Source organism: Homo sapiens, chromosome 20, assembly GCF_000001405.40.
Source record: "Homo sapiens chromosome 20, GRCh38.p14 Primary Assembly".
In the NCBI taxonomy this organism is placed as follows: Eukaryota; Metazoa; Chordata; class Mammalia; order Primates; family Hominidae; genus Homo; species Homo sapiens.
In genome coordinates, this window is record NC_000020.11 from 60,247,599 (window position 1) to 60,273,647 (window position 26,049).

The 26,049-nt window shown below is 47.1% G+C and overlaps 2 long non-coding RNA genes across 2 annotated transcripts in view, besides 1 other annotated feature; both read left to right on the top strand.

Annotated features, from left to right (window-relative positions):
* Positions 1-26,049, top strand: part of MIR646HG (MIR646 host gene) — a 183,765-nt gene that overhangs the window by 109,107 nt on the left and 48,609 nt on the right. The gene's annotated exons all lie outside the window — the stretch shown is intronic.
* LOC105372698 (uncharacterized) overlaps positions 8,193-26,049 on the top strand; it is a 31,484-nt gene continuing 13,627 nt past the window's right edge. The window contains exon 1 of the long non-coding RNA NR_171673.1: positions 8,193-8,255. This is a non-coding gene — a long non-coding RNA (uncharacterized LOC105372698). The remainder of the gene's footprint in view (positions 8,256-26,049) is intronic.
* Positions 24,749-25,250: an enhancer, noted in NCBI's record as "NANOG hESC enhancer chr20:58847405-58847906 (GRCh37/hg19 assembly coordinates)". NCBI's record gives its function as "activates a minimal SCP1, AML or CMV promoter by ChIP-STARR-seq in primed H9 embryonic stem cells {active_cell/tissue: H9 hESC(primed)}" and the evidence as "EXISTENCE:reporter gene assay evidence [ECO:0000049][PMID:30033119]".

Here is a 26,049-nt window from a genome sequence, read left to right on the forward strand (position 1 = left end):
ACCTCGTGATCTGCGTGCCTCGACCTCCCAAAGTGCTGGGATTACAGGCTTGAGCCGCCACGTCCGGCCTCAGACCATTTTTCTAGAGATGGTGAAATTGCCCCTTACATGAATCAAGCAATAGATAAAAATATTGGTCCAGTGTTTGGGGAGAATGGTAGGATGTTCTCTGGCTGAGCTCTCTCTTTCCTTCTCTCTCTCTCTCTCTCTCTCTCTTCCTTTCCTTCTCCTTTCTCACTCTCTCTTCTCCCCATTTCCACTCTCTCCACTAGGTTCTCTTCTCTCTCTGTCTCCCTCTCACCCTCTTTGTCACTGGGCTCTCTTTACGTGTTGCTTTTCTAGAGAAGTAATCCCAACATAAGGTATATTGAGAAGTTTTCAATGGTTTTCCTCTCAGAACCCTGTTCATGGGGTCTAGCAGGGCATGCACCCCAAGAATCCTAATTCTTGGAATTTTAAATACTAACATTTGGGGATGAAGGCCTTGTTTCTGTGCTATCAAACAAATAATATTTCTGTGAACACACACAGATGCATGCCCCCCCCCCTCCCACACACACACACACACCCCACTCCAGTACTTACATGCACGTCCACCTTCTTCCAGGAGGAGGAAAGGAAAGGGAAGGAAGCTTTTTCTCCATTGCCCAAAGTCTTTGATATTTGTATTAGTCTGTTCTCACACTGCTATAAAGAACTGCCCAAGGTGGGATAATTCATAAAGGAAAAAGGTGTAATTGACTTGCAGTTCCGCATGGCTGGGGAGGCCTCAGGACACTTACAATCACAGTGGAATGCACCTCTTCACAGGGCAGCAGGAGACAGAATGAGCGCCGAGCAAAGGGGGAAGCCCCTTATAAAATCATTATATGAGAACTCACTCACCATCACAATAACAGCATAAGGGAAACCAGCCCCATGATTCAATTATCTCCACCTGGTCCCTCCCTTGACATGAGGGGATTATTACAATTCAAGGTGATATTTGGGTGGGGACACAGAGCTAAACCACATCAATATTGATTCCTTATTTACTGATTTTCTAATTTCCTAGAATTCATCTGGGCCTTGTACTGTCTTTTGGTGCAGGTTTAACCACAGTCTTGACTGTGTTAGGAAGTCTCCTGATGCCATGGACTCAGCCTTGCAAAAATGGTCTCCTCTGTATTTTATCCAGTTCTTTAGAGTAGGTAGGGAATTTTATTGATTGAAACATCTTTATAAAAAGACTCTTCTCCTTCCATCCCTCCTCTGAAACACATTTCTTTCTCTTGACATTTCATAAATTTCTGGTTATGTTTAGTAATAATAGCAAGAATAGCAGTGATGATAGCAGTAGAGTTGTAGTAATTGATCCATATGCTAAAATTTTATGATGTCTCACATTTTTCTTTAACGTGTATAAACTCACTGATTCTTTGGGAAGTCACTCAGTGGGTTTGGGACGAGGCTAACTGCCCTTGTCTTCCCATCAAGGGAGCTGTCACTCAGACAAGTTCAATCAGCACAGGCCATCCCCTGGCCTTGGGATTTGTGTAAGGATGAGAATGAGACCCCAAATGCCCCATAAGAATAGATCATGTGGGTGGGGTGGGAGAAAAGGTCTCCTGCTGTGAGATCAGAACTGTAAACTTCATGGAAGCAGGGGCTTTGTGCTTGTCCCTCCTTCTTATGGAGAAAGACTGTCTGGACATGAGGTGATCCCCAAGAAAGCAATCGAGGGGACATGTCAAGAACATTTGAACACAGAGTCAGCCTCGCTTCATTTCCATATGTCTCATGAAATTCCATTTACATGAGCTAGCATTTTTTTTCTATAACTCAGATTGAGTTCAGTTTTGTCATTTGCAGTCAGAGTCTTGGTAGTACAATTACTATGGCCATTTCGTTGATAGCAAGCTACAGATGACAGAGCCGAGGTCGTCTCCTCCAGGTCCCAGAGCTGCTATGTGGCTGAGCTGCAGTTCAGAGCCAGGGTGACTCAGCTTGCAAGCCTGTGCTCCTCACCTCCGTGGCATGCTTCTCCCAGGCTGGCACTGAATCACCGGAAGGACTCCTTAAGACATGGATAGGGGATCCACCCCAGAGGTCCTGAATCAGCAAGTCTGGGGAGGAGACTGAGAATTGACTTTTCTATCAAGTTCCCCAGTGATGCTGATGCTGCTGGTGTGCGTACCACGTTCTGGAACCTCCGCTCCCTGCTCTAGGGCCTTCTGGGTGGAGCCCTAGAGCTGAGCTCCCAGCTGTGGGCATGGCAGGCACTGAAGAGTGTTGCTTTAGGGTAATGTGTTAACAGTCTAAGAAGGTGCGTGGTGAGTAGGCTGACCATTTCTCTCTCTTATTGAACAAAATATTGCTAAGCCCTGGATTTTCTCAGCTGTAAATCACTGAAATCTGAATAAAATTACCCCTACAATGAATCAATCAATAGATTAAAATATTGGCCCAGTGTTCAAGAAGGACTGAAGGATGCTCATTGAGCTCTCTCTTTCCTTCTCTCTCTCTTTTCTCCCCACCCACACTCCCTCCCCCGTGTTCTCTTCTCCATCTTTCCACTGTCCCCCTCTCCTTTGCTGGGCTCTCTTTATGCATTGCTCTTACTCTGTACCAGCACAGGTGGGCTCTTGGCATGTGACAGGGCAGCCAGCCAGGCAGCTCTGTGCTGTGGGGTGATCTTCTCTGGCGGCTCCGACAGACACGCGTGCAAGAGGAGACTCTGAATAACTGGGCCTTAGCTTGGATGCACCTCAGTCATGCTGTGGGCAGAGAGAGCCTATGTCACCAGAAAAAAGGAGAGGGCTGGAGAAACATGCTGGAAAGACAAACAGCAAAAACATTTTCCTGGATCATCCTGGCCCAATGTAACCATGAGTCATTAAAACTGGAGGAAGGTGGAAGAGTGCTCAGAGGGTTGAGACAGGAGAGGAAGGAGAAGAGATTCAAAGCATGAAGAGACTCAGCACTGCTGGCTGGGATGATGGAGGAAGGGGGCTACAAGCCAAGAAGTGTAGGCTCCCTTTAGACACTGGGCAGGGCCCGCAGCTGACATCAAGGAGACAGGACTTTGGTCTTGCAACAGTGAGGAAATGTGTTCCACTCACGCAGTGAGCAGGCAAGGAAGCAGGTTCTCTCCAGAGCCTCTAGAGAGAAACCACAGCCCTAAGACACCTTGATTTTGGCCCCGTGAGACCTATGCCAGCCCTCTTACTGCCGCAGGGTGAGATAGGAAATTGGTGGTGTTTCAGTCACTGAATTTGTGGCAATGGGTTATAGCAACAATGGAAAACTACGGAAGAACCAAATACCCCAGCTGTATCAAATTAAGAGACATAAGCCCTGTTGCAAACCCTGGCTCATTGCCTCACCTGCAGGGTCCGTCGTCCTCCCTGAGGTGCAGTTTCCTTGCCTTTAAAATAGAAATAACAGCACAACCAACCTCCCAGGTTGCTCTTTTAATTGAATAACATTATTCTTGTAAGGCACCCAGCACATACTAGCTGTTCAATAATTGTTAAATTATGAAGAAGAACCAAGAGAAAAAAAGAGAGAGAAAGAAGCTCCTTTGATATTTTTTGGACTTTTAAAAATAAACTGGGTCAAAAAGAAATACAGCTTAAATATATGTTGCAGACTAATTCAGTTTTGAAGTCTTTTGAGAGCTTTTATATTTTCATCTCTATAAAATTGTAGAGTGCCTGAAAATACTCCAAAATACATTAAAATTTCATTAGAAGGTGCTGTATGGGGCCACACCTTATTTTTCTTGAAAGGAAAGGAATGTGAAGGGGAGGGAACCAGAAACACATAATTTCAAAATTCCACTTCCAAATGCATCTATTTTTTGACATTTAAAATCGCAAACAGATTCAAATGCCTTGGCTATAGTGTCACAGCAAGTTGAAAACCAAGCACATTAACATGGAATTATTTCTGTATTAAAAGGTTAACCTTGTCGGTGCTCAAATGTGCTTGCTTCCCATTTCATATGGCTGGGTGTGTGGTTTTTCTCCTGCATTACATTTCCCTATCACACAAAACAGCCTTGACCCAACTCTTTTATTTTTGCTCGACTTCCCTGTCTTTTAGGATGGACATAAAACCTTGGAGTCTTGGGGTTGGAGTCCTGTATACACCGTCTACCAGGTGGGGCCGTGGGCTGGTTATTCAGCCTCTGTGATTCTCCCTGCTGGCACCTGTAAAGTGGGGACAACAGTGGAACTATCTGACTGATTGAGTGGTTGGAGGATGGGACAAGAGAACCCCGAGAATGCACTTGGCAGAGTAGCCCCTGAAACTCACAGGCTATAAGTGTTCTCATCGCCTCCACTCACCCCCTTAACAGTTCTAGTGCCGAGTATCCAACCCAGGCTGGTGTTTATTCACTCCAGCGTCACATAAGTAATGTCATTCAAGGTCTCTGGATCTTATCCGCCTGTCTTTTACTTCTCAGCTCCTAGGTGCTCTGCCCATTGATTTGTTGCTGCTATTCTAGGAGGGTGTACATTCAAAAATATTTATCATTCTTCCCCTGCCCACCCTACCACCCACGCCTTGACTGTCCAGGGATGAGGGTTTATTCTCAAATCATTGGTCGGGGCCAAGCCCACACACTTGCAGTATGGAATCGTCCTTTACTCATTGGTTTATTAACAGAAAATCATTTTCTAACTCACTATTACAATAACAATGATTATTGCAATTGAATTGCAATTCAAGGTGTCTTCCAGTGTTTCAATGGTTATTTTTATTTCGCAGTTGCCAGTATTGCTAATAACTCATAAGGGGTTACAGTCATCACCCACTCCTATTAGCTTCAAGGTGTCTGCAGCAGATGCAGGGAGGCAGGAGTTCTTGCGGGGCAGAGGGGCTTTAGCAATCCCCTTGTCTGAGTCTCATCCAGGGAGTCAGCTTCTGTTTGATTCCTGTACTCGTCCCCCTGCCACTTCCACCTGTCCAAGGCTTCTGAGGAGCTGTCTGGTACGGAGGCACCTCAGACCCGCCAGGACGTTCTGTCTGACTTGACGTCTGACTTGACATCTGCCCTTTGTTCTGAGGGGCCAAGGTCAGGCAGTGGAAGGAGAGCTGGCTGCCTGCCTCTCTGCACAGGGAGGCTGAGTCTACTTCAGACCACCTGTCTCCAAAGCTCAGACCACTTAAGATGTGAACACAGAAAACCTGCAAGAACCTTTCTGAGGGGATGTGGGGTCTCTGAGTTGGGATTTCTCTCGAGATAAGGATTTGAGTGATTGAAGGAAACACCAGTTAGAGAGTGGGGAAGGGAGACAGGGACTGAAGGAGGTTGCATCCTTGAAGGTGCATCCTCAAGCTATACTCCATGAGGCAACTGACCCCACTTGCAGCCTTTGTGGCACCATGAGGGAAGTGGAGAAAATGTCTCTGCACTGTCCTGAGAGAGGTGTGGGAAAGCAAGGGCTCATCTGCAGCCTCCACCCATCCTGGGCCAAGGCTGCTCCCATTACCCATTCTGGACTCAGAGCTGCAAGTGCCCCCCAGGTAGCAGCCTTCCGTGTTTTGAGGAGGCTCCTCACCCTTCTCCAGCCAGCTTCTTTCTTCAGCCTGATGCTTGGGGCTCCTGGCAACTTGAGGTCCGACCTCCTGGCTGTAGTGGTGGCAGTGACAGAGAGAGGGCTTAACAGAATCTCCATGTAGGAAAGAATCTTAAAGGGTGAGCATTAGGTATGTAAAGGGAGGGTGTTTACTGCAAACTGCAGGTGCACTGATGCCCATGTATGTCTGCAGCCACTGTCATTCCTACCTGGAGAGAGCTCAGGAGAGAGATGGTCAGGACAGAAGTCCGTCTGTGGCTGAGTCAGTACCTCAGGTGGGAAGAAGCTGATGGAATCCTTCTTGGGCAGCTCCTGCCCCTCTCCAGCCTAACTGTAAGCAGTTTGGAGCCCCAGCACTGGCCGGGGGCGGGGAGGGGGGCGGTTCATTTTCTCCTTACGTCCATCTGGAGCTCCCTGAAAATGCTGACAGGAAGGTACAGGATGTTGCAGTCCCTGCTGGGCTGGGGCAGCCCAGTGTGGCCTCTCCAGGTGGAGTTCCAGGCTGCCGTGCAGTCAGGTGGGAGAGGAAGTCTAGGTGGATGGATGGGGCCATGGCTTCGAGCTGGTGGACAGGCACCTGGTAAGAACTCCTATTAGGACACTCAGAAATTTCTGGGGCCACTTTGAGGATCCTCATTTCATCAATCAGGCCAGTAGGTAGATACTAGTGGAGGGTGTCTACCCACCACCAGGGGGTCAGCCTACCCATTAGCAAACACAGGGAAAGTCCAGTTGATGGACAGGCTGTAGAGTAACAAGCCTCAAGATTAAGGAATTGTTTCATATTAAAAGGAGACTAAAGAGATGAGAACTAAATGCACCAAGTGATCTTGGATGGATCCTGTGCAGGAAAAAAATCCTATCAAGGACATTATTGGGACAATTGACAAAATTGGAATACGATCTATCATTTAGATTTTTGTATTAATGTTATATCTTCTGAAGTTAGTGACTGTGCTGAAAATATGTAATAAGTCTTGTTCTTAGAGTGTAGACACTGAACATCATGGAGAAATGGGCACGGTGGGTGCCACCTGCCTAAAAATGACTCCGAAACGCAAGCTTGCACACACACACGTGCACACGTATGGAAAACTAGGCAAAATGTTAAAAATTAGTGAATCTGGGTAAAAGGTGTATTGGAGATCTTTGTACTATTCTTGCAAATTCTTTTATAACTTTGAAAATAATTTCAAAATAAAACATTTCTTAAAAAGGTATTTTGAAGGCCAGGCATGGTGGCTCACGCCTGTAATCCCAGCACTTTGGGAGGCCAAGGTGGGCGGATCACGAGGTCAGGAGATCGAGACCATCCTGGCTAACATGGTGAAACCCCGTCTCTACTAAAAATACAAAAAATTAGCCGGGTATGGTGGTGGGCACCTGTAGTCCCAGCTACTTGGGAGGCTGAGGCAGGAGAATGGTGTGAACCTGGGAGGCAGAGCTTGCAGTGAGCTGAGATGGCGCCACTGCACTCCAGCCTGGGCGACAGAGCAAGACTCTGTCTCGGAAAAAAAAAAAAAAGATATTTTGAACTTAGGTTTAGTTACAACTTAGGCCAGAATAGCACACCCATAGGTGCACACACAGGATTGTCTCCCTGAAGGTAAACAGCCCCCTGCCCCCATTACTCCTACCCCCACCCCACCCCCTCACCGAGCGTGGTTCATGGAGCACCCAGGCAACCCCACTGCAGACGCCAGCATTCGGGTGCATCCACTCAGGAACTCTGATTTGGGACTCATGCTTGAAACAGCCAATTGCGTTTTTTTCTGTCTTTATCCTCTTATTCCACGTGACCTCTTTTGCTGTTTGCTCTGAAGCTGACCCTTACTGAGCCCCAAGGCCCTTCCAAGTGAATCATGACTGTGTCACATGGCCTGTATTTTAAGCCAGATTCTTGCTAACATACTCGCAAAATTGGGTGAAAATTTATCCGGTCCTTTTGGCATGATGTCATGAAAGAAACTTAATTTTTTTGCTAGAGTGAGCCTGTCAGGCAGGGCCAAGGAGGTTACAGGAAGGGTATGGCTCACCCACAGACCCTCCTGGGGAAGCCAATATCCAAAATGCCCAGGCACAGGAACTGTTAGGTCACTTTCATCAGTGAGAGGGATGGGCAGAGGGCCAAGCACTCACCCTCAGAGCCAGAGACATTGCCCCGAGGCACCTTTATATTAGAAAACGACAGGAAATAGAACAGTGCCACACAGGCAAAGCATCTGTCCATTGTGATCAAATCAGGTGCAAAGTATAAGAAATGAGAGGACCCTGTGATGTTGCTGGGGTCTTCCTTTCTCAGTATCTCCTTGAAGCTGAGGTCCAGGAGGGGCTGGGTCTGGCTGGAAGAAGGATTTGCAAGAGAAGGAAATCTACCCCCAACCCCCAGAGGAAAGAGGGTGCTCCCCGTGGTGCACAGTGGCAGCAGCTGGAATTAGGGCAGGCAGTGTAAGGCTGCTGCAGACACAGAAACTGAAAACACACAAGGACACTCCCAGGGATTCATAAACACACCAGCCAGGTGTCCTCTCCACAGCCCATTTGCAGCTGGCAGAAAAACCCTCCCAATCTGCAGGGAGGAGCTTCACAGGGACCCTGGAGAGAATGTTGTGCTTCAGCGAGTTCACATAAAATCATCTCTGACGGTGTTGAGGAAAGGTGAGCAGGGGACTGGCCACCCTATATTAGGTTTGTAAAATTTTAATATTATTCCTTTTAATTTGTGAAGTCAATATTTTCTTTTCTCTGTGCTGGGAAAGGCTGCGCCGTGGGGGCCGACTCAGGGTCCTCTCCTCGCTGGGAGGCCATGGCCTCTTATGTCTTATTCACTGGCCTCCTGGCAGACTCATAATGAGCCCACGGACCTGCTGTGGAATGAAGCCAAAGCTGTGAGTGTGTCTGGGTGACTTATTCTCCTCTCCCAGTGCCAGGGAACTTTGGTCTCTCAGTCACTCATGGATTCAGCAGATACTTCGGAGCAGCTGTTATGGACCAGGTGCTCATAGCTCTCACATCACTAGGTACTGAGGTGAGAGCTGTGAGTAGAATGGCAAAGTCCCCACCCTGGGGGGCTCACATTCCAGCCAGGAGATGCACAGGAAATAAGGGAGCAGACAGCCCCACGGGGTGTGCTGTGAGATGCCAGCTATGATGAAGCCGCTCAGGGCTGGAGCGGGTGGCTGGAGATTAGGTGGGTCAAGGTCTTCGGGAAAACTGCAAGGCCACCTGAGCCCAGGGGACAGGTGCCTTCAGATGAATTAGGGGTCAGGGAGTGGGAGCAGTGGAGGAGGACCTGGGATGTGGGAAACAGTGGGAGGAGCACAGCCTGTGGGGCTCAGGAAGGGTTTTGGGTTGCATCTGAGTGACAGGAGAAATGGGTTTGGAGATAGAGTAATGACATGGTCAGAGCCGTGTTTTTATAAGGAGCTTCTGATGGTGAGCAGAGATGGGGTCTGGGGTCAAGGACAGAAGCAGAGGGATGAGGCACTCAGTATCAAAGCCAGTCAAATCATTAGAATGACCCTACTTGAATTCAGTGTCTGTGATCCTCAATGGCTGCCCAGACTGAGCTGTGCGAGGCAGAGTGTCCCTGTTCCTTATCTGTCCCCATGAGTGGTCATGGTATTGGTGACAGCGGGAAGCAGCCAACACTTAGGGGGTACTCTTGATGGGCTAGACCAATGCTTCTCAACAAGGGGGATTCTTCTCCACAGCGTACATTCAGCAATGTCTGGGGGCATTGTCATTGGCACATTTGGGGGTTGTGCTCCTGGCATCTAGTGGGTGCAAGCCAGGGATGGCGCTCAGCATCCTGCAGGGCACAAGATGACCCCACCTCAGAGTAGTGTCTGACACAGAAAGTCCCAAGTGCTGAGGCTGAGAAATCTTGGGCCAGAACAGGATAAAGGCTACGTGTGCTTTGCTTCATTTCATCCTAGGAGAACCCTGTCAGGAATTATGATTCTCATTGTGTAGTTGGGGAAGCTGAGACATGGAAGGCTGAGCTGTCTGACGTGACGCAGCTGGGGAGTGGCCGAGCTGGAAATGGAGCCCAGGTCTGTCTGACTCTGGAGTCTGTGCCTTTGACTGATGCAGAAATTCAGAACATCCGTGCTGAGGCGTAGCAGGGGTCCAGCATACACGGGGGCTCAAGTGCATAAAAAACCCTCTCTTTGTTTTGAGATGCAAGTTCGTCAGGACCTCCAAAACATTGCCTCCCATCTTCCCCTCCTCCAAACTGTTCGGCGATCCCCTTGGTTTGTTCAGCCTCCCCAGAGTCATCAAAACATTGACACCGCTTCCCTATTATTCATCAAAAATGCACCCTGTCACACCAGCAAGCCAGGGGTTAAGGCATCTCAAGGTGAGGGTGGAGGAGACTGAGTTCAGCAGAGGGTGAGTGGCCCTGTGGGAGCCGTGCCCGGACATGACAGAGGTGGGATTCCAAATATGAAAAACACCTTCCTCCTGCCCCAGGCCCCTTTCTTATGAGAATCCAACAGGCAGCCAGTGGTCTCCAGCATGGGGATTCCTGGACCACGTCATGTGGTAGGTGACCCCTGAAGGCTCACTGCACCTGCTGTATCTATTGGACATGTGTGTGTGTGTTTGAGTTGAAGACTATGTATAGGAATTCAATTCAGCAGACATGTGGATGCTTACCACATGCACTGCCTCCACTTGCTTTTGCCTGTGTGCACCTGCTCATGCAACATCTTCATGGCAAACCCAGGGGCACATGCACTGGGGTAGTGCAGGATCCAACGGTGCCATCTGCACCCAGCAGACTTTCCAGGAGAGAAGATTGACTGAGCACTCAGCCATCAATGTCAGCCTGTAGTGGAAGGCTCTAGGGCAAAATTCTTTTATGGGCATCGCAGAACAAGTCTTCATTGAACACTGTGAACCAGACAAGTGGGAAGGTGGATGAAGAGCTAATTCACTGAAACAAGGTGAGACCCCACGGACCAACCAAAATGTGGAATCAAGGCTGCTACTGTAAGGACTTTCAGCTGCTTAATCATGTATATTCCTTCTCCTGTTATAGATGAGATGCCCGAGAATGTTCCCTCCCCAACTCAGAATCCTTTGCAAAACCACCAGGATCTTGGACAAAGAGGTAATGAAGATTTTCTGCAATTAAAAAAAAAAGAAAGAAAGAAACTTGGAATGAATCTATTTTTGCCACTTCAAGTGTGGGTTCACCTGACCCATAATTGCCATGTTCCTGCTCATTTTGCCTCTCCGCCCCCAACTATTGATTTGATTTGGGAGATAAATATGCTGCAGTGTTATTTAGAGTCAACCTGCCTCTGAGTGTCGGTTAGGAGGGTGGGGAGGAGAGAAGGTGGCACTGAGCAGAATTTTAATCAGGTTTTAGCGGTCTCTACCTGCTCATGTAACTAATCAAATACTCCTGTCCCGAGGGCAGAAATTCACACAATGCATTTCCATTAAAAAATTACTCTTTAATCAACTTCCTCCTACTCAGGGCCATCCGAGGGGCAGGAGGACCAGGCATTCTTGCCAAGGTCATCCTGATTGTGGAAGCTTGCCAGGACAGAGTCCCATCTCTGGAACAAAGTCTTCTTTGTGCGTGGTGAGATGGAGTTGGTGTCTTTTGGTTTTATTAACCTAGGGACTATTTACCCATCTCACTATTTCCCTTGCATATGTCTAAAAGGCAAAACTAGGAAAGGGCTAGGTGGTCTCTGAATCCTCTCCTCTCTATCTCCCTAAAAGAGGTGGCTGTTTCTGTCAAGACCATTTGGTGGCTGGAGAGACCCACGGCAGATAGCTACTTACTCAGCTATTTCCGTGTGTGTGTGTGTGTGTGTGTGTGTGTGTGTGTGTGTGTGTGTTGCGGAGGTCTTCATATTTGAAAAAATATTTTCTTTATATATGACAATACTTGATTCCAACAAATTATATCATAATGCTGGAAGTCCAGGCAGCCTGTTAAGCCAGAGTGGCAGATCCATTATGTGGCCTGGGAATCAGTGTGGACCCTTTCAGTGACCCTGAAATCCTAAGTGTAGATAACACACCCTGCTTTCACGCTGAAGTGCTGCAATATGACCCAAAAGGAAGAAATAAAACCTCTCAGTTGTTGTTGCTAAGAATTCCTATTACCAAGAAAATCCATTCATGCAGTATAAACTGTTGGTTTTCTTAGAGGGCAAAAATCAGGGTTAAGCCTGGGTTTTGGCCTCCTACAAAAACGTAAGGCAGCAATGAGGAAAGACGTGATCCTTTACTGAAAGAAAACAAATACTTAGGATCATAGGAAAGGTTTCACAGCTAGATTTTTTTTGGGATGGAGTCTAGCTCTGTTGCCTAGGCTGGAGCGCAGTGGCAAAATTTCAGCTCACTGCAACCTCCACCTCCCAGGTTCAAGTGATTCTCCTGTCTCAGCCTCCCAAGTAGCTGGGATTGCAGGTACCTTCCACCACACCTGGATAATTTTTGTAATTTTAGTAGAGACGAGGTTTCACCATGTTGGCCAAGCTGGTCTCAAACTCCTCACCTCAAGTGATCTGCCTGCCTTGGCCTCTCAAAGTGCTGGGATTACAGGTGTGAGCCACTGCGCCCAGCTGGCTTCATAGCTAGATTTTGGATGCTAGAGTCTGTGGAAATTTTGTCTTCTCTCTCTGTCTCTCTCTCACCCTTCTGAATACCTGCCCCATTTTCTTTACTTTTCTAAAATGTTTCCATTGCTTTTCTATCTTGCTCATGCTTTTCAGTTGCAAATGGTAGAATCTGTCCTAGCTAGTAGCTAGTTTCAACATAAAGGGATTTCCTTAAAGGGCCTTGGTTAGCTCACAGCATCCCTAGGAAAGTCAGTGACTTGGGCTTGAGGTCTATGCACCCAGGAACACTAGCCCTCACTGAGCTGCTTCCTTCAGGGTCCAGGATGCCCACTGCCCCTGCTGTCTCTGAAGCTTGCTGTGGGGCAGGCTGATGCTATTGGTGTAGACCTAGACACAGGTCCCTGCAGTTAGGACAGATACCTGACCTGGTCCCACATGCTGTGAGGACACAAGACCCCGTGTCCTTATTCTTTGCCAGAGCTTGGAAGCAAGGAAGACAGATACATCAGGACGGTGCCTAGGCAGTCTGCAGCTGATGGTCCTCTATCCACTTCATAATCTTTACTGTGTGCCAGTGAACAAGAGCCCCAGGTGCCCACCCTCCTCAGAGACAGTTCTGTGCGAAGGATAGACCAAACCAAGCAAGCAGACAAATAAATCACAGTAATTGTATGAGGAGGAAAATCAGCAAGGAAACCAGCAGTCAGTGTGCGGAGAGCTGTTCCCCAGATGGAGTCAAGGAAGTCTTCCTGCAGAGGTGACGTGATTGAGACGGGAGTTGGGGAAGGTGCACTGGAAGCTGGGTGGGTCTCAGAGGGCAGCCTGGTGGTTTATTCGGCCTGGTTGTGTGTGCCAGGCACGGCCGAGGGCACTAAAGGAAGGGTGCCTCACTGCAGAGGAGGAGGAAGCTCCAGTGCCGGCAGGCTCCTGGGATGGAGTAAGGACATGTGGGTGTCGGGATGTGATTCTGGTGAAGCATTTGAGCCCTACCACTCCAAAACCTGAGTTCAAGAACTCACCCACTACATATGAGCAGTGTGGACTTGTGAAAATTAACCTCTCTTATCCTTGGCTTTCTTTTTGGTACAGTGGAGTTGATGAAAAGCATCAGCTTCAGAGGATTGGAGGAAAGGCACGTAGAGTGCTGATGACAGGGCCTGGCACACAGCAGGAGCTCAACCAATGCTCAGCGCTGAGAAGGGACTCACTGTGCTTAGCAATATTGCTGCGGGAAAGCCAGATTGTCCCTTCAGGATCCATCAATGCCGAGGGCAAGGAGAGAAAAGCATTTGGGATTTTCTTTTATGGGTCTCTTCTTTCAATTTCATTTTCATGTATCTCAATTTTTGTTGACTGTATTCACCACTACTTCTTGACTGTTTTTTATGTTCTAGGCACTTTTCACAAATATCTATTTAATCCTTAGTTCTCTATGAATTAAATAGCTATTTGTGAAATCCTATTGGTGGAATCCTCCCACCTTTGTGAGTGTGAATGTGTGTGTAACTTATGTATCATAGAGTTTAAGTAAACTGTTAAATATTACACAGCTATTGAGTGGTGTAGCTGGGGTTTGAACCAAAATCTACCTGGCTCCAAGTTCCTTCTCCTGACTGATATTAGTTTGTTGGGCATCACGAGGTGAGGGCATCTAAAAAGTCTTGTGTGTTTAGATCCTTCCTGGATTTCTCAGGGACTTGTTTCTGTTGACCAACAGGTGTTAGGAGGTAGAAGGAAATGCATGTAAAGTACCGGCCTGCAACTGTTGCTTCTGGCAGAAGAGCTGAGCTTCACCCATCTCTGCCATTAGATAAAGGATGTGGTTGCTATTGCCCAAGAGACTTCTTCTTGGAAATAATGCCGGAAAAAAAAAAAAAAAAAAAAAAGCAATTCCTTGCAAATCCAGCAGTCACTAAAAACACGGAGAACTAAGTTTTTAGGATGGTCAAAAGCCACCCACCTAGTCCATTTTATTTGTTTCCTGTTCATTTCTTTTATTTTCTTCTTCTATCTCCATAATCTTTATTTCCCCACGACAAGATTCTCATCTAACTCTCTATTTAACATACCAATGCTTCTTGAGGACGCCGTTATCTATTGTTTCTTACGGTGCACATTCATTAGCACTTGCCAGAGAGGGGCTGTGTACTGTCATTTCTGCGCCTGCCTTTGTTAGTTTTAGATTAATTCCTGCTGTGGTCATGTTCTTTGGGATAATTTTATCAAGATTTTCTTTCTCTTGCTTTATTACTTGCTTTCTTGGTTACTTTATTAAATTTTAAAATGTCTTATTAAGGTTACTTCTTTCATTGTGACAAAAGTATAACTTTTCCAACTTTGCTCTAAAAACTTGTAGAACAAACTCTTAATAGCCGCCCCCCTCCCCAGGGACATGGGGCAGGACTAGGGTGGGAGTGTGGTGGGGAAGAAGAGCTCTTACTTTTTAGTCTAAATGTTTCTTTATGGCTTCAATTATTTATAACCATCACAGACTATTTTAATGAATTGTTTTCAGTAATAAATAAGACTTGTAGATCTGATAATGTTATTTTTATAAACTTTTTTTTAATCAGGCCATGCTCTTCAAGATGCAGAGGTATAAGAAGTCCTTAGTGAAATAACTTTTAAGAACTGTGCATTAAAAAGATGGCTAATGGCAATCCCAGCACTTTGGGAGGCCGAGGTGGGTGGATCACGAGGTCAGGAGTTCAAGACCAGCCTGGCCAACATGGTGAGATCCTGTCTCTATTAAAAATGCAAAAATTAGCTGGGCATGGTGGTATGCACCTGTAATCCCAGCTACTCAGGAGGCTGAGGCAGGAGAATTGCTTAACCGGGACCCAGGAGGTGGAGGTTGCAGTGAGCCAAGATCACGCCACTGCACTTCAGCCTGGGCTACAGAGCGAGACTCTGTCAAAAAAAAAAGAAAAAAAAAAAAACAAGGAAAAGAAAAGAAACTAGTGTGAATATGAGAGCTTCATTGAATCCAGGGATATGGCTTAATAGAGATTTTTAAGGCCACTTGACCTAACTAGAGTTTGCAGCTCAAATAGAAGTTTTATTGGGTTCTGTTATTGGATTATCCAGTGGGGCAGAGGTAGAGCTGCCAGCTCCCAAATTAACACTGTAGATTGGCATCTACTGCAGGCAAATGACTTCCAACTTGGCCATCACTGAAAACCATATGGAAAGACAATTTACAAAGTCTCTGGAGGCTTTTTGGTGACTTAGTGATTGGCCTTTTGGAAATGGACAGAGCAAGGAGACAGAACAAACCTGAATATTTGGTGGCTGCAGCTCTTTTGGTCTTCACAATCCATTAAGTCCTCACCTGGGTAGGTGTCTACCTGTTACAGGTGGGCAGGTAAGCCTGCTCGCTGGCCATGGAGGCAGGACACCTCTGGATGGAAAATGAGCCTGTCTCGGAGAGCGACCCCTGGTGGATGGGGAGCTTTCCTGCACTTCACAAACATCACTAAAGGTGAATCCCATTCCCCTCCTCTGTCTACCTCCTTCTCTCTGGGCTCGTCTCTGTTTCCAGTCATCTAAATAGAAAGGAATCCTTAAAGATACAGTAGTCAAAACATTGTAAGCCCTCTCCTACCCCTCTGTCCACTCCCCACACTCACACATCAGATGTGGGTTTCTTAAATATAAATCTAGGATTAATGCATTCAAGCCTGGTTCCTTGGGGGAAAGCTGGAATAACCAGCAAATGTCAAAATGTTTTCTTTAAATATCTAAATGAGTGGAAAATAAAACAATATAATTTCCCCAGGAATTACCTGGCCACTGGTCTTTTCCATAGACATGATACATCCCCTTATTTCTCCCCAGGGTGAATCCAGTTGGGAGTATTTGACACTGCAGATCTCGGGTGCTCAGAGGGAGGCACCATTAGTTTAATAAGAGAAGGTCCTGAGTCTGAGGGTTCTAAAGGTGGCCCCCATAGACTCTAGGCAAACTGCTCAGCCACGGTCTCATGAATATCACATCTTTCTGTAGGTCTGGAAGAGACCTGGCAACACCTCCAGAAATGGCCTCCTTCTCTGGGTAGTACCAGTTAACCTCTAGAATCTAGTATAACTCGAAATTTTTATTGGAATTATCCAACCATTACCCTGCTCGCTGTATTAGCTCTGCCCTCGAGCGCTCTTGACTAAGTATCAGGGGAATGAAGAGCTTTGTCAATTGGAACCCAAGCCTCCTGATCTTAATTAGAGATGTGCCAAAGTACCTGAATTTAATGGGGGAGGTTGGCAGACAGTTCTCTCTCCACCCCTCTTGCATTTAATGACTTCATTACTGATTACTGTCCACAGCAATGCAGAAATTAAATATGCTCTGCAGAAAAGCAAAAAGGTTGAAATGCAGTTGCTTTTGCATAGCAAGTTCCACGCGAAGCTTTGCACTGTTTGCAAAACGGGGAGAGCCAAGATGTTAGCATGCCTCCCCCACACATACCCTGCCACAGCGCAGCTCAGCCCAGCAGTCTGGCCTCCCAGGCCCGGGAGGGGCCCATACGGAAGGTGGGGAGAATGAATTATTCATGTGCTCGCTCCCATCCACAGATAATTCAATATTCTGCTCTCAATAATCTTTGCCAGCGTTATCTGTATTCATTCTCTCGTTCTGTAAAGAAGGCTGCTAAGTAATTGTTAAATATCTTTCCTGCTCCCTGAATAAATTGGAGATACAGAAAAATAATAGGGATATGATTGCAACATATTCATTTGGTCATGTTTGCCCTGATTTAGTGGGGCACAGCAGACAGCTCCAGCATTCCAGAACTATTGCCATACACCGAGAAGGGTCAAAGTCACACTTTTTTCCAACGATTTTTCTCAGACACTCATGCTCCTTAAAGCTCCCTCATAACCCATCACCCTGTGGTGGGGACACCAATTCTTAGCGTCCAGGTATCTTTTCCACTGAAGAGACATTCACGTCAAAATTCTGACAGTTTTCTTCTTTTATTTAAGCTAAACATTTCCATTTGAGACAAGAACATTTTAACCATTACATCCACAGGCTTTGTATGGTGCATTTGCAGGTTCAGTATCTCCCAGGCCAAGCAACAGTTTGTGCATATAGTAAATACAGCTGGAGGAAACTGTGTTTATAACACTTAGTTAGAAGGAGTAAATAGCCCTGGGTACTGATAAGAAAGGTAAAATGTATCCAGAGCTGCTGCAGAAGACAGAGGCGGAGGAAATGATGGAAATGGTGACCCTGTTGGTAGGAAAATCACCTGGAAAACAAACAGTTGCTTTAGCCTTTACACACGCAGAAAACTTTCAAGGAGAATGACTTCGACCCAGGAGGATGGGCTTTGACCTTGTTCCTGAAGGATCCAAGCCCTGGCTAAGCTTGGGGTGGGGGACCGGCTCCAGGATGAGATGTCTGTCTGTGTCATTTTCCCTTTCTCTGTGAGCTTGTGAGCCAACCCGGAAGACACTGGGTGCTTTGGAAAAGAGCTCTCTGGGTTTGGGGGATCTGCTGGGGCTTACAGGTGGAGAATGGGGGGGACCAGCAGCGGGTTAGGGTGAAGATGGCCTCAGAGCGTGGCGGGCTTCTGACAGCCCCCTCCATCCACGTTGGATCTCCAGTGTCATCAAGGTTGTTTACTGAGCTCCTGCTTGCAGTTGGCCTTGTGCTATAAAAAATACACTTAGACACTTAACACTTCTCTTCCTGAGAGCTTAGTCTATGACAACAGGGTCACAGATATTTATAAGCACATGTATCTATTAAATAAATATCTGCTGAGGCTAGTCTCTCTTGCTATGAAATCCTTTCTCTGCCTTTATTCTCCTGCCTTTTTTTTGTCATGTTCAGCTGGTCTTTGGTGCAAATTCTTCTGAGTACCATGTGGTGGCTCTGCGTGGTGCTGCTCTGCTTTCTTGGTCCAGGGACTCTCCCGAAGTACAGGGTGCTTTGGTGTAAAGGGTTTTCTCACCAGGGTGATTGTGCCCCCTACCCTGGCCCCTATGGAATGTTTGTCAAAGTCTGGAAACATTTTGGTTGTCACGATGTGGGAGAGATTGCTACTGCATACAGTGGGTGGAGCCCTGGACTTCACCATGGGTGCATGAACATCATCTGTGCACAGCACGGCATCCTCTCCCCAAGAATCTTCCAGTCCCAGAAGTCAGCAGTGTGGCGGCCTAGATGCCCTCATTGATAATGGGGCTGCCCCTTCAGGCGTTGCTGGGTTGAAGACCGGACTGTCACTTGCCAGTAGCAGGTTCTTTAACTTCTATGTGACTCCTTGCCTCATCTGAAAAACACATACCTAGGGCTCCTCCTCAGGGATTCTGGGGGTTGATGAAATCGTGCTTGTGAGTACATAGCAGAGAGATTATTCCTGGATCCTGTAACCGTGCAGGCCCAGCTGTCATCATTGTTGTTGTTATTTGGCTTTTAAACATCCAAACTGTATATGCTTCAATATAACCTCTCTGCTGCTTGTTGCCTCCTCTGCTCAAGAACCCTCAGTGGCTCCCCACTTTACCCACTTGCAATGGGCACCGCTTCCTGTTCGCCAGGGAAAGCACCTGGTAGCTTGGCCCCCACTGCCTGTTGTTTGATGCTTCTGAGCCAACTGTCAGCTGCTCAGCTTCCTCCAAGGAAGTTGCCAATGCTTCAGAACTTCTGTTGGTCCCAGGCAGTATGGGGGGGCTGCGGTTTAGAGAGATTCAGTGTGTGCAGAGGTCTCCTCACCTGGCATCAGTGGGGAGGCCTTCACTCATCTCTCTCCTGTGTCTACACAGCCCCACCTGACCATCACAGCGAGCCTTGCCTCTTCTTAGATCTGTGTTCCCGGATGGGGTGGGGTGTGGTGCATGGAGCACCCCTCCTTCCCTCCCCTGAGTCCTTCCCTGATGGAGACAGCTGCTTCTCTCCTTGCGGAAATACACTCCGGTGGCGGTGGGGTGGGGGGAGTGGGTTTAAGGGACAACTTACCAAGTGATACTGGTGACCCTCAGGAGGTCTGGTGTTGCCACCTATGTGGAAATGAGCTCCAGGGAAGAGGAAAACAGCCTCTGTTATCTGACACTCGGAATCTGCTTAAAAGGCTGCCTATTCCCAAAGACTTCCCCATTGTGCAGCTGTCCCTTCATTTGCTGCAGCTAAGGGGCCCGCCATGCCTCTGCTACCTTCCCGGTGACAGGGAAGCGGGGCTCTAGGTGGTGGAGCCCAGCCCCAGCCCATCAGAGCCCCCAGCTCTTCCCCTGGTAAATTCTGTCAGGTCCTCTGTCTTGGGTCACCTGTCAGCTCCTTCCATGGGCATTCCATGAGTACCTGACAGAAAGGCACCTTTTCCCAGTCATTCTGCATCATGTTACCTGCTTCTGGTTTCTCTATACTGTTGTCACCATCTGAGACGAGCTCACTGATTCATCCCCTTGTGATTCCTGTGAGCTCTGCATGGGAACAGGACGATTTCTATTTGGTTTATTCATCAGACTATCCAAAGAGCTCAGCTGAGGACCTGGCATGCCACAGGTGCTCAATAAGTATACACTGAATGCACTTGAATATGGCAAAGGCTCTCCTCGTGCCCCATGGAGAGGGAAGAGATGGTGGAAAGTGAGATGGAGCAGGGGAAAGGCTGGGCTCTTGACCTCATCATCTCTCTTCGTGAAGGCCCCCCATGATTGAGGCTGGGACCAGGGCAGGCTGTCATGGATGTGGCATGGTGACACCTACGAGGTTGGTGGATTCTTCTCAGATTCTGCAGTGCCAAGGTCTCTGTCGAAGGTTACACTAGTATTCTGAGGGACGGGAGTCATTCTTAACTAGACAGGTGTGCCCATCACTCCATGGCTCTGGGTGAACATTTGTTGTGTTCAGGAGTCTGGACCACAGGCCAAACGGAGCAGCAATGCTGCCATCAGACACGGCTGGGAAAACAGTCTATGGAAACTGGCAAAGGACACAGACTGTGGGCATGAAAGGTGAAAGATTAGCCCAGGCCCCCACTCCATGTGGACGTCCAACCCACAGCTCCTCCATGTGCTGTGAGAAAGAACCCCTGTCATTTCAATCCACAAGGTGGATTGTGAGTAGCCTGTGGGGCCTCAGCGCTGGTAAGAACGTCAGTCTTCATTCTCTGCCTCTGGACAACCTCAGCCCCTGCACCTTGCACCTTGCTTCTTAACTGACCCTTGGTGCAAACTGATCCTCCCACCTGCATCCTGTCTGACCAGAGCCCAGTGACCCAGCAGGTGCCCAGTCCCTGGAGCCTGCTGTCACATTCTCCAGAAGGCATCCCGTTCCTATTGGCTGCGACAAGTTTTGTTTAGAAGAAAACTTGCCCAAGTGGGATTGTGAATGGGCCTCTAACATTGATGCTTCTGAAACGCCACAGCGTTTCTACTCTGTTCCTAAGTGTGAGTGTTGGTGGCATTAGCAGGGTTTAAAATCAAGAGCTAAAGGGTGAAATGTTGGAGCAGGCTGCAGAAAAGTCTTAGAATTTGGGCTCACACAGACCCTGTTTGAATCCTGGACCCACCATTTACCAGCTCTGTGACTTTGGGCAACTTTCATCACTTCTCTGAGTCCGTGTTTTCCACCTATAACATGTGGATAAAACAAGTATTTCACAAGGCTCTTAGCTGCAGATTACATGGAGTGTGACTGTTTCTGCCTGCCCCAAATTCCTTTCCTCTCTGCTAAAAGGGCCCCTCCTTGCTGTGAGGAGTACATTTCACTTGGTTCAATATCCTGACCTTCCCCTAGAGATAGGCAATGATCTGTCTTGACTGAACCAATCAGCTCAGGTATGTACATGTGACTAGGTTGAATCAGTCGACTCAGGGACACACATGACCAATTCAAACCAAGCAGCTCAGGGGTGCACACATGACTAACTAAAGCCAATCAGCTCAGAGACATACATATGACAAGACCAAACCAAACAACTCAGGACGGCACACGTGACCAGGATGGACTAATCAGTGCAGGGATGCCCACATGACTGGACCTAACCAATCAGCTCAGGGATAGGCACATGACCAGGTTGAACCAATCAGCTCAGAGATTTACGCATGGCCAGGTCAATCAGGATTCCCCCTAAGTTGTACCCTGGTGACCATCAAGCCTACTAGGAGGGAGGGCTGGAGCCAGGGATGTTCTTCGAACACATAGACTGGGACCTCCCTGGAGTCCCTGAACTTTGCAGTTATATAAGCCAGTGTATTTCCTCTCCGCCATGCTAGTCTGAATTGAGCATTTCGGCAACTGCAGCCAGGAACGCATTGTGTGGTGCAGGGCATGGCGGGTGTGCAAGGGCGGGAGTGGGCCCAAGGCTCTAGAAGAAGAAATGTCATTTTCTCTTCACTGCACACAGGCATTGGAGCAACTGGCTGGAGATGGGCTGAATGGCCCTTCACAGTCACTCCTAAAGGCCACCCACTCCTTAAACATCTGGGAGAAACCAAAGGTGCCTCTGTGAAGCCTTAGCTCTTAGCCACTTAGTGGGATGCAGACTCTCATCCTTGAAATGGGCGCTGAGCAAAATGTATGTCCTTAGTGCAGCTCTGAGAGAGATCTTCTCACCTGGTAATTCCCCAGTAGCCAAAAGAGGCTAATGAAAATGCGCTTTCGTTCCCAATTCCTCATGTAATTAATTTCTTCTCAGCAATGTAGAGCATGGTATCATCTCCATGGATTGCAGGTGAAGAAAAGTTTTGCCTTTCCTGAAAAGAGACTTTGATCCTCATATGCGTGTGATCAAATCTTGATGTAACTTGAGTCAACATTTTAGGGTCCGAGTCTTTGTATTGAGTCCCTAGAAGCCTTGGTCTTGGAGGCAGGAGCTGTCTTTCTGATGGGCAACATAAAAGTTAAGCTAGTTAAGGCCCTTGTTAAATAAGTGACAATTGGTAAACTCTCTGAATTTCAGGAGCCTAAGTAAATTGAGTGTGGCACATAAGGGCTCACATGGAATCTGGTTTCATAGGGCTTGACAGCTGAGCATCACATAAATAGGACTGACAGTACCAAGCCATGAATTATTCCTGCATAATGACGTTCTTCGAGACTAAGACAAAAGCTGTCATTACTTCATTACTCTGCTGTGTCTTATTTATTCGGGGACTGCTCTGCGGAAACCATGAGAAAACATTTTCTTTATCCCCCGTACAGGATTGCCTCCATCAGGCAAAAATGGCCTGCTTCCAATCAAAGCACTCGCAAATCAATTATCCCCAGAGTCATGAAAATTCCTGGAGGTCACTGCAGACTGAGCTGGAGAGGGAAATCTGATATGTCTCTCCTCGGTTCATTAGCTGGGAGTGTTTGCACCTTCACAGTATCCTTGCTGGAGGGTCTTCAACCTTTTCCTGAGAAGTCACTACTTCTGATTTCCCTGAAGTCTTATGACTGTTGATGAGAAAAGTCAGAGGCCGGCACGCTGAGGACACCTTCTCTAGGTCATTTCGGGGACCTTCAGAGAGGAGATTCTGTCAGTGAGGAGCATCTTGGAGATTTACCTGTTGGTGCAGGTGGTAGCCATCCCTCTGGGATCCTGGACTCTAGATGTGGTTCCTGGCTCCTTGTTACTTCCAGTGATCTCAGTGTGTGGAGGGAAGTGGCACGCATACACCCAGGCTGTGCACTTGCCAGTGAAGCAGATGAAGAACTTTGGGGGAGTGTTTTAGGAAGACCAGTGGACAGTGTTTGGGTTTCCTCAGAAGCCTAGTACAGGGCTTAGGAGAACTGGGGCTGCAAGCAGACTGGCTAGGTTCCCACCTCTGCTTCTCACTAACTAGGTGACTGGGCAAGTAACTAGGCTGCCCTGTGTCTCAGTCTCATCTATAAATAGGTTGTTGTGAAGATCAAATAATTTAACACTCATAAGATGCTTAGCACAACACCTGGTACACAGTCAGAACGGCCAGCCTTTATTTTTATTTTTATTGTTTTGAGATGGATTCTCGCTCTGTCATCCAGGCTGGAGTGCAGTGGCTCGATCTTGGCTCACTGCAACCTTCACCTCCCGGGTTCGAGTGATTCTCCTGTGCCTCCTGAGTAGCTGGGATTATAGGCATGTGCCACCATTGCCTGGCTAATTTTTTATATTTTTAGTAGAGATGGGATTTCACCATGTTGGCCAGGCTGGTCTTCAACTCCTGACCTCAAGTGATCCACCTGCCTCAGCCTCCCAAAGTGCTGGGATTACAGGCATGAGCCATCGTGCCCAGCCAGTGTTTATTTTTTAATATGTCATTGGACTGTCATATTGGATTGAAATCTTGACAAAGGAGTATAAAAGAACTAACATATTAGAAACATATCATTGTTGATAGGCACTTAAAACGAATAGACATTGTACCTCCAATAGAAATGCAAGTCCATGGAAAATTGCTACTTGGGCCAGGTGCCGTGGCTCATGCCTGTAATCCCAGCACTTTGGGAGGCCGAGGCAGGTGGATCACGAGGTCAGGAGTTTGAGACCAGCCTTGCCAACACGGTGAAACCCTGTCTCTAGTAAAACTACAAAAAAAAAGTTAGCTGGATGTGGTGGTGCATGCCTGTAATCCCAGCTACTTGAGAGGCTAAGGCAGGAGAATCGCTTGAACCCAGGAGGTGGAGGCTGTAGTGGGCCCGGGACTGCAGCACTGCACTCCAGCCTGGGCAACGGAGCAAAACTCTGTATCAAAAAAATAAGTAAATAAATAAATAAATAATTGCTAGTCGATGTCCCTACATTTTGCACTACCCTCCATATCTCCAGAAACAATCATTTGCATAAAGTAGGGTCCTTATCATGAGTGACCCCTTGCTCCAGAGAGAGATACTGCTCAGCAATTCTTAATCCAAACTGGCCCAACCTCTCTCTCATGGAGGGTCCAGAGAGGGAAGGGTGAACAAATCTTGCAGATATTTTGCAACTGAATAGCTCTGTGATCTGTATGTGATCTAATAAACTTGGTGGTTTATCAGAATCATTTCCGTGACAGAATCTAGAATGCTGGATTTAATGACAACCATGATAGGGACACAGCACTGATTTCTTTTAGAGACAGGTTCCACAATGCCCCTTGAGGGCTGGCTAGTAATGACATGCAGAATCGGTTTCTCTCTGTTGGAAGGGAGAAGCCTGGAACACCATTACCTTTTTAAAAAACACTTTTCTCAAGAAGCAAGATGCTGGCTGGGGTGCAGTACTGCATGTAAGTTTAGACATCAGAGATTTAGGCTGATCATGGTTAAAACTTACCTGATTCTCAGTCCTGCTTGGTATGAACTTCACAAAGGTTAGTACCTTAAGAATTGCTGACACATTTATTACAATTTCAAAGCTACAACTCAAATCCCAGGAACACAGGATTGCAGTGACCTACATAATTTGGGCTCAAATACCTTCAAGGCATTCCGAAGAGACAGAGAACACCAGAACAAGGGAGAATTGGAGTGGAGGTGGATGCTGAAATTCCAGTATAAAAATCTACTCTGGCTGAGGAATAAGACAAAATGTAAGTGATTTAGGAAAATTATCCCAGACAAATGAGAGGTGAACTTTGGAAGGGGGTATAAATCAAGATAATAATTTCCATATTTGCTGTTTCTTTTACTTTTTGCAGAAGAAATGCAATATAGTCGCTACTCAGGAATTTTGACTGAGGTTGGACATTGTTTAGAAATGGGAACAAGTTTGAAGGATAGGATGGAGGGAAGGAAAATATTTTTTATTGCTTCCAATATAGTGGCTTTCATAAAGCTGAAAGTCTCCCCTGGAAGAAGACCTCAGGGGCCCTTTCCTGAACAGGTGAGAATGGTTTGTAATTAACATATTAATTGGTAGGTGCTTCTGAAATGCTGGAGGATGCTTGAGAAAGGACTTGAGTAGTTCCAGCATTACCTTTTCCAAATTGTTCTTGTCATAAATTGACTCAGCCAACCCTCTTCTTTATACAAAGGTTAACTTCCCGTCCAGCAGGTGTGGGTTATCACAGTCTACATGTGGCAGTTTCTGTATAATATTTGCCTCTGGGTGCCCCTGTGAAAACAGCTAAAAATAGGGACTTTTGGAGAGAGAAGTCTATCGGGACAGCTAAGGACTGCAGGTGACCTTGAAGCCATGAGGATAAGTCCCCGCTTTTTGGAAGAGGCAGCCGGAACCTGTTAGACTGCTACTGAAGCTCGGTACGTTATCTATACCGGCATCTAACTGCTGCCAGCCACTAAGAAATGTTTTCTTGCTACAAACAAAAAATAAAAAGAAAAATAACATTATCTGCAGTAGCAATCTACAGTTTACTCAGTCCTTTTGCATATATGATCCTTACACACCCTTTGAGATAAAGAGAACAGATTTTGTTACCTTGAGAAAGGCTGAGTGATGTGGCTGAGGTCTGAGTCAGAATTCAGACTCAGGCCTTCTAGCTCTGTCTAATGCCTAGAATTTCTCTCCTGGGGCATCATTTATTCCTGTTTTTTTTCCAGTCATTTGGGGGGCACCACATCCTGTAGACAATGGTCCTTGCTAGAGAAGCCCCCAACATCAAAACTAGAAAAAATAGAAATTAAGAAAGAGGGTTCACATAACAGAGGAATGCTTCTCCCTCTTCTCAAAAGAATTGCCATTGAGTTTCTTTAAACAAGAGAGCATGTTGCCAATGTGATTTGGTTAACTATCACAGAGGATGTCCTTCTCGGAGTGTGTCCATTTGATAGACAGGGACACATCTGAGAAAGCAAAGCCCACCCTGTTCAGGAGACCTCCTTCACAACCTCTTAGCCTTCTCTGCCTGGGCAGCTCGGGCCAGATGGCTCTGGGGGGTCTCCCCTCATCCTGTGCCTGGTTCCTGGCCTGCTCCCACTGCTGGCTGGGCTTCAGGCATGTGCCTGTGCTCCTCCATGGGGCGTGTTAATAAGTGGCA